Source organism: Homo sapiens, chromosome 17 (genome assembly GCF_000001405.40).
Source record: "Homo sapiens chromosome 17, GRCh38.p14 Primary Assembly".
In the NCBI taxonomy this organism is placed as follows: domain Eukaryota; kingdom Metazoa; phylum Chordata; class Mammalia; order Primates; family Hominidae; genus Homo; species Homo sapiens.
Window position 1 is genome coordinate 71,314,752 of NC_000017.11, and position 7,832 is coordinate 71,322,583.

The following is a 7,832-nucleotide window of genomic DNA, read 5'->3' on the forward strand; positions in this document are numbered from 1 at the left end:
CAGTCCTTAAGTGGTGAAGTTATAAAAGGTAAAATGCCTGTATTACATATACCAGGGAATTAGAATAACTTTGAAAAGCAGTGTCCCTAACTTGTTACCATGGTAATGGAGATGAATCTTGATTGGGTGGTGAACAGCCATGGTACAGGATAAAGGAAGGAGAGTCAAATAAGGATGGATGGGCAGCAGATGTTCTTGACTCACTAATCTATTTTTTTTAACCATGTCTCTTTTTACCCACGATCCATACTGTATATACCAACTATCTTAGCCTCGTTGTTGATCCCTATATATATCAAAAATAATCCATGAGGCAATTTTTGGCGGCATTCATAGTGGTTACCACCATCTCCATATCCATGCTTTCCTCTTTAATACATTTGGATGAGCTTCTTCATCTCCACTCCACCTCATGTGAGCTACCACTTTTTTACCTCGTAACAAGGAGACTAGAACTCAATGACCCGAGAACAAAGTTTGAAAGACGGGCCATTCTTAATCTAGAAACGGGGCCAATGAACTGTTTCCGTAAAGGGGCAGATGAACAAATATTTTCGGGTTTGCGAGACCAAGAGGTCTCGCTCTTCTACTCAACGACCATTGTAGTGCAAAAGCAGCCATTGACAATGCCTACATTGTCAATGTAGTGTGGTGGTGTTCTAATAAAACTTTAAACACTGGCAGTGGGCCACATTTGGCCTGTGGGCACGTGGTTTGCCAACCCCTGGTTTGGAATGATGTACCCCATAATTCTAGTGCTAGGCCCTTGGTGAAACCTTTTAGCCCTCCTTCATAGTCACGCAAAAGCAGGGACTGTAAGCATCCCATGAACAAGGGCCTCATTGCAGCCGCAGAGCCTGGTCTCTCCTGAGTCTTGTTTTGGTATTGTGTCCTTGGATATTTTTGTTCAACAGTACCAGAAGATCAAATATCATCATTATTTTTAGCATTCTCTCTGAATATATTTTTTAAACTGTTTGGGAAAATGTTTCGTCTCTAGCTAATAAATGCTGATGTCATGAAAAACAATTAGAGTAATGTTTTCCTCAACAGGGACTAATTGAGGTCATTTTCAGGGGGATATTGTCTTAGTTACATGGAGCAGCCAGGCAGTGTCAGACTTCACACATAAGTTTGTTTGTACAACGACATGTCTGTGGCTACTGGGCTTATGTTTTTAAGAGTTGGGTGTACTCTGCCACACAATTTGGATTTTTAAAAATTAAAGGCTTGCGTTTGGTAGTTTCAGAGGGTTTGTGTCATGGAAAGAGAGAATGAATGATTCAAATAGTAAACACATCCGTCTTTTCAATAGGCTCTTATTTGGCACAGCATTTGAACACAGCCCTCTTGAAAGGAATAATGATGGCCTGAGTTTCCACATGCCTACGTGACCACATGGCAAAAAGATGGACAACAATGTATCCAAGGGATATATCAACAATTTTCAGCATGAGAATTGTTCAGGGAAGGGCTCTTGGCAGAGATCTGAAGGGAAGCTTTTAGTGTAGCTTCCTTTTCAAATCCTAAATCAAGCCACCATGCTCAGTCTCTCACTTTAATAAGCACTAAATCCACATGCTAGGTTTCAAAAGAAAGAAAAAACCTACTTTAACTGCTAAAACTTCCCTGAAACATACTCAGGGGAACAGGGCACATATGGTGTTGTAATTTTTTTAAAGCAAGACATCTGTAGTATTCGAGAAATGGCTGAAATCTGTTGGATTTCAGAAACTTTTATAAGCTGAACTCCAAAATAGATAAATTATTTTTATTAGACTCAGCAATGGTCAATTTGTGAAGAAAATTCTACCTGGGAAACGACTTTTCAAAAGCAGAACTTTGGTAGTGTATATGTTTAGATCTTGATTTCAAACAGTAAGTGCTAAGAAAATTAATTTCCAATGCATGTGTGATTGAGTACAGCTGCAAAGATCCTGAGCATAGATAACAGGAAACAATGGTGAGCCTGTCAGTTTTCTTGCTGTGACCTCTCTAGGCAGTATGTCTGAGTGCTTGGCGCTGACTATTGGTTCAATAAATAATTATTGAACACCTACTATATGACAGGCATTGTGCGAGGCCCTTGGAATGCAACAATACACAAACCAGCCTGCACAGAGCTTAAATCTAAAAGTGGATATTAAAAAGGACAGATAATTAATTGACTACAATAGGGTCTGGGAAAGGAAACTTACTTAAGAAGCTGGCTTTTACCTGGAGATTGAACACTAAATATGTGTTGGCCAAGGCAATGACTAGCCAGGGAGTCTTTCAGGCAGCAGGAAGAGCATTTAGGCTTTTAGGAAAAAAACATATGATGTGTTTGAAGGAAGCAAAGTGTGTTTGCAGAGCTGGAGCAAAGAAAATGAAGGGAGCAGAAGCAAATAATTCTAGGAGTCATGGATAAGTACTAGAGGAGTTTGGATAACGCAACAAGGATGGAAGATATCATCTGCAGAATCCCTATCTCCCTTTGCTGTGGTTTGAATGATGGTGTCCCCTCCAATATTCATGCTGAAACTCAATCTGTAATGTAAATGTCTCAAGAAGTGTGGTCTTTGGGTGGTGATTGGGTCATAACGGAAGTGCCCTCATAAATAAGATCAAGGCCTTTATAAGGAAGGCTTCACACATGGTTTGGCCCTCTTGCTCTTCGTCATTCTCTCCTGTGAAACACAGCAAGAGGGCCCTTACCAGAGACCAAAAGCCAGTTCCTTGATCTCGGACCACCCAGCGTATAGAACTGTGAGAAATCCTTTTTAATTGTTTAAAAATTACCCAGTATGTGGCATTTTGTTATAGCAGCACAAACAAAGACACCCTTTAAGAGTGGATTTCCCCAAAGCACTTTGGAAATATATAGATATCTGTATAGATAGATACTGATCTCTCTTTCTCTCTCTCTATATATATATACACACACACACATATATATGGCTCTCTCTCTCACTGTCTCTCTCTCTCTCTCGCTATATATATATGGCACTTTCTATCTGAAAATAGAGTATATTTCAGTATATATATAATAATCTTTATATTAGACATATAAATATATATGTATATACACACTGTCTTTACTCAGAGAAAAAGAAACACCGCAATGGACTCCAAATATGTGAATGCAATGATTAAGCCATTCTTTTTTTTTTTTTGAGACGGAGTCTCGTTCAGTCGCCCAGGCTGGAGTGCAGTGGCACGATCTCGGCTCACTGCAAGCTCCGCCTCCTGGGTTCACGCCATTCTCCTGCCTCAGCCTCCCGAGTAACTGGGACTACAGGCACCCGCCACTACGCCCGGCTAATTTTTTTGTATTTTTTAGTAGAGACGGGGTTTCACTGTGTTAGCCAGGATGCTCTCGATCTCCTGACCTCGTGATCCGCCCCTCTCGGCCTCCCAAAGTGCTGGGATTACAGGCATGAGCCACCGCGCCCGGCCGATTAAGCCATTTCTTGAGTCATTGAACACAAAATGTATGCTATGGCTTCTGTGTTATGTAGAAATAAGTAAAATCAATTAGTAAACAGATTATCTCAGAAGAAATGGTATCAAGAAGAACAAGTATGCTACGTGAGGTATAGGTGTCTGGTGCACTGAGAATCATATAAAAACGTGCAGATATTCCAAATTTTTCATAACGATGAACTCCTTTTTAACAAGAAAGTGACTAAAACTACTTTCCAATGGAAGCAAAATCAATTAAAATTGCTCTGGAACAGAGAAGAAAAAAGAAATCTCACCACTCTAAAATTGATTTTCACTTTTCAGTTTTTGTAAATTGTTGCCCAGATTGGTATATTTTACAGTGACAATCATGTCTTCTTTTTAATGTTTTTTGACTTAAAGTTACTTTCTATATTTCAAAAGATTCTGCATCATTATCATTTATAATAACTGCAAACACTTCAACTCAAAATAATTGTGACTTAATTCTGATTATGTGTCAGTGTGGGATGATTGAGAAAGTTGTTTAAAAAGGAAAAAGGTTTTCTGCACTAAGGTTTAATGTAGGCTTAAATCACTAATTTAAGTAAAAAGAAATGAGCCATTTTAATGAAATTGCTGGAATAGTATACAGTCATTTACTCCTAAAATTTAGCAAACCCAGAATGAATGCTTATATTTCAGTAATCTGAGTGTTTGTTCCAACTACTAATTATTTAAATACTACTGATTATTTTTAATAGTCTTCATTTTTTAGAGCAGTTTTAGGTCCACAACAAAACTGAAGGTAAGTATAAAGAGTCTCCATTTGCCCCTTGCCCCCATGTAGGCATAGCCTACCCTATTATCAATAACCTCCATCAGAGTGGAACATTTGTAACAACTGATGAGCAGATGTACTAATACACTGATGCATTATTAACACCCAAATTCCACAGTTTACATTATAATTCACTTTGTGTCATACATTCTCTGGATATGGAAAAATGTATAACAACATGTATCCACCATTATTATACTATTATATTATAAACCAGCATAGTCCTCACTGCCCTAAATATCTTCCACACTCCACCTGTTTACCTGGATATGCCTGCTCACCCCTTGCAACGACTGACCTTTTTACTGTCTGTATAGTTTTGCCTTTTCCAGAATGTTATCTAGTTGGAATCATATAGTATGTAGCCTTTCACCTTAGATTCTTTCATTTAATAATATGTGCTTAAATGTTTTCCATGTATTTTCATGACTTGATACTTCATTTATTTTCAGTATTGAATTATATTCCATCGTCTCGATGTACCACAGTTTATTTATCCACCTTCCTACCGAGAGACACCTTAGTTGCTTTTAAGTTTTGGCAATTATGAATAAAGCTGCTATGAACATCAGAGTATAGGTTTTTATATGGATATAAGTTTCCAACTTATTTGCCTTAATACCAAGGAGTGCAGTTGTTGGTTCATAGGACAAGAGTATATTTAGTCTTGCAGGAAACTGCCAAACTGTCTTCCAAAGTGGTGGTACCATTTTTGCCTTCCCACTAGAAACAAATGAGAGCTTCCATTGGTCCAAATCCTCACTAGCATTTGGTATTGTTAGTACTTCAGATTTTTATCATTCTAATAGATGTACAGAGCTATTAATTATTCTTTTTTTAAAAGAAACACAAAACAAAAGAAGTCCTGCTGTAGCAAGGACTTGAAATAATTTTGCCAGAATTCTTTCTTAGCAGTTGGTTGTTTTCATCATGAAGGCAAAAAGTATTGATAATATAATGAAACTTTATTTCTTGCCACCTAGGAGGGAAGATAACAGACCATACAGTTCTTTTTCTTGGTGTTCTGGTTTTTTTTTTTTTTTTTAACCTTTCTTATTTAACATTTTTTATCAGGAGTATGGATAAAAATAAAGAAAATAATGATAAAACGTGCAATTGACTCAACACACACTGTTCGGTTTTCTCTGTCTTTAGGCCACACCCATCACATTTGCTCTTACACCGCTGTGAAACCGCTTTTATCAAGATCACCAACAACTCCTTGCCAAATCCAAAAACGAATCACCTGGCCTCTCTTTACTGGACTTTGGCAGGTTCCATATGCCACACTCACTTATAACTTTATTCATCTCTCTGAACACAATGAACATATCTTCTCCTTCTATGACCCTCACTACACTGTGTCTTATCCAGCTCTAAACATCAGAGTCCAAAGGACTCAGCCATAGAATCTCTCCTCTTTGCTAAATACACTTTTTTCCCTAAGTAATCTCATTCAATCCTATGGATTTAAAAATCATCTATCTGCTGATGAGTTCAAAATTTATAGCTCTAGTCCTGAACCTTCCCTGAACTCTAAACTCATAAACCCAACTCTAAAACTTAAAATACACAGAACAATTGATTCATAAATCTTTTTTTCACACACCCTCTTCCACACCCTAGATGCTATATTCTGCAGTTTCATGCTTCTCAGAAAATATTTATTTTTTCTGTTGACTGACTTAAGCCAAAAAGTTCAAAGTCAGCTTTCATTTCTCTTTCTCACTGACCATTCTCAATAGACAAGTCGATATATGTTTTTACAGCTCTATCCTCAAGACATCCCAAATGTTTCTATTCATCACCGTCTCCTGCCAAGCAGTCACTGTGTCTCACCCAAACTGCTAATGCTGTTCACCTGTCTTTCTCCTTCCACTCTTGTTTCTATATGGAGCAGTCTTCACACAGCGGCTGGAGTCACATGACATATGTAAGAAATAGACTCTCTGTCTCCGTTTTGATGAGACATTAACATCAGGTACCAAAGCAAGTGTGAGACAAATCCTCACGTGTAGTTTTTCAAAAGAAAACCCGAACACCTTGCTGCAAGGATCTTGCATCTCCCTCACTCATTCTGAGCAAGAGTCCAAGAGAAAAAGAGTTTGGGTCTTTGCCTCTTGTCCAATAGAGTTTCCAGGGAAAAAAAGAAACCTTCAGCAGAAAGAACCCAGATATGGACTTCCAGATGCCCAGGAACTTGGCAAGAATGTCCAAAGATTACTAGGAATAGAAGTGTAAATATCTCTACCATAGGAAATATAGGAAACACAACAGTATCTCATGAGAAAAAGTCCCTGTTTAAGACCCAAAGAATTTGAAGCCACCCAACCAAGTCTCATCCACCTGCCATAGCTATGTGAAGGTGGCAGGTCAGGGGAGATAAGTCAATTTTGTCTCTTTTCCAGTTCAGCTTCCCATATGGTGTCAGCACTGGGAGACAGAATAGAAATGAACATCAGCACTGGGAGACAGAATAGAAATGAACACTCAGTCAAAACTGGGATTTGGATTATTACACAGGGCTGGACACTTCCTGAAGTGTCCAGCCTTCCTGAAGTTTCACTTCCAGAGTTTCCTGAAGTGAAACTCTGTTTGCAATTTAAGGTAATTATAGAACTGTCTATTACTAAACAGTGAGCAGGAAAGTTTTGGCCTGCCAGTTTTCCTCCAGGATGAGGGTAAAACTATTCCCATTGACTAGGCTTTGAAGAGATGGTGGGAATTGGCCTGGAGCAGTGGCTCACATCTGTAATACCAACACTTTGGGAGGCTGAGACAGGAGGATTGCCTGAGTCCAGGAGTTCAAGATCAGCCTGAGCAACAAAATGAGACTTTGTCTCTATAGAAAATTAAAGGAAAAATAATTAGCCAAGTATGGTGGCCCATGCCTATGTTCCCAGCTATATGGGAGACTGAGGCAGGAGAATCACTTGAGCCCAGGAGGTTGAGGCTGCAGTGAGCCCTGATTGTGCCACTGCACTCCAGCCTGGGTGACAGAGTGAGACCTTATCTAAAAATAAAAAATGAAAATAAAATAAAGTGAGAATAACGTATAAAGATAGATTTTGTTACCAGTTATACTTGTTCAAAAGTCTAGTTATGTCATCTATTAAAAATTTAAATCAGATTATGTCTCTCCTCTGTAATTCCCCCTAATGCCTTACATTGTATTTAGAATAAAAGACAAACTGCAAATCTATCTCATAGCCTTCAAGATTCGACATGATCTGGCCCCTGTTGACTCCTCATCTCCAACCATTTTTCTCTTTGCAGACTGGTCCACTCACATTCACTTTCTTTTCATCCCTTGAGTGTGTCAAGCTTATCCTTCCTCGGAGACTTCCCTGTTGCTGTTCTCTGACTCTGTAATCTTCTTTTAGATACGGGCAAATCTGCCACCTCATTTCTTTTCCGACTACTAAAACATCACTTTTTCAGAGCGCTCTTCCTAGATTTCATTATCTGTCACTCTCCCCACATTCTACCACGAGCACCATGGCCCTTTGTTAATTGTTTTCATACCACGTATCACTACATAGAATTATATATTTTTATTCATTGGTAG

At 38.6% G+C, this 7,832-nt stretch overlaps 1 annotated feature.

Moving 5' to 3' along the window:
- Positions 3,271-3,771: an enhancer, noted in NCBI's record as "H3K4me1 hESC enhancer chr17:69314163-69314663 (GRCh37/hg19 assembly coordinates)". NCBI's record gives its function as "activates a minimal SCP1, AML or CMV promoter by ChIP-STARR-seq in primed H9 embryonic stem cells {active_cell/tissue: H9 hESC(primed)}" and the evidence as "EXISTENCE:reporter gene assay evidence [ECO:0000049][PMID:30033119]".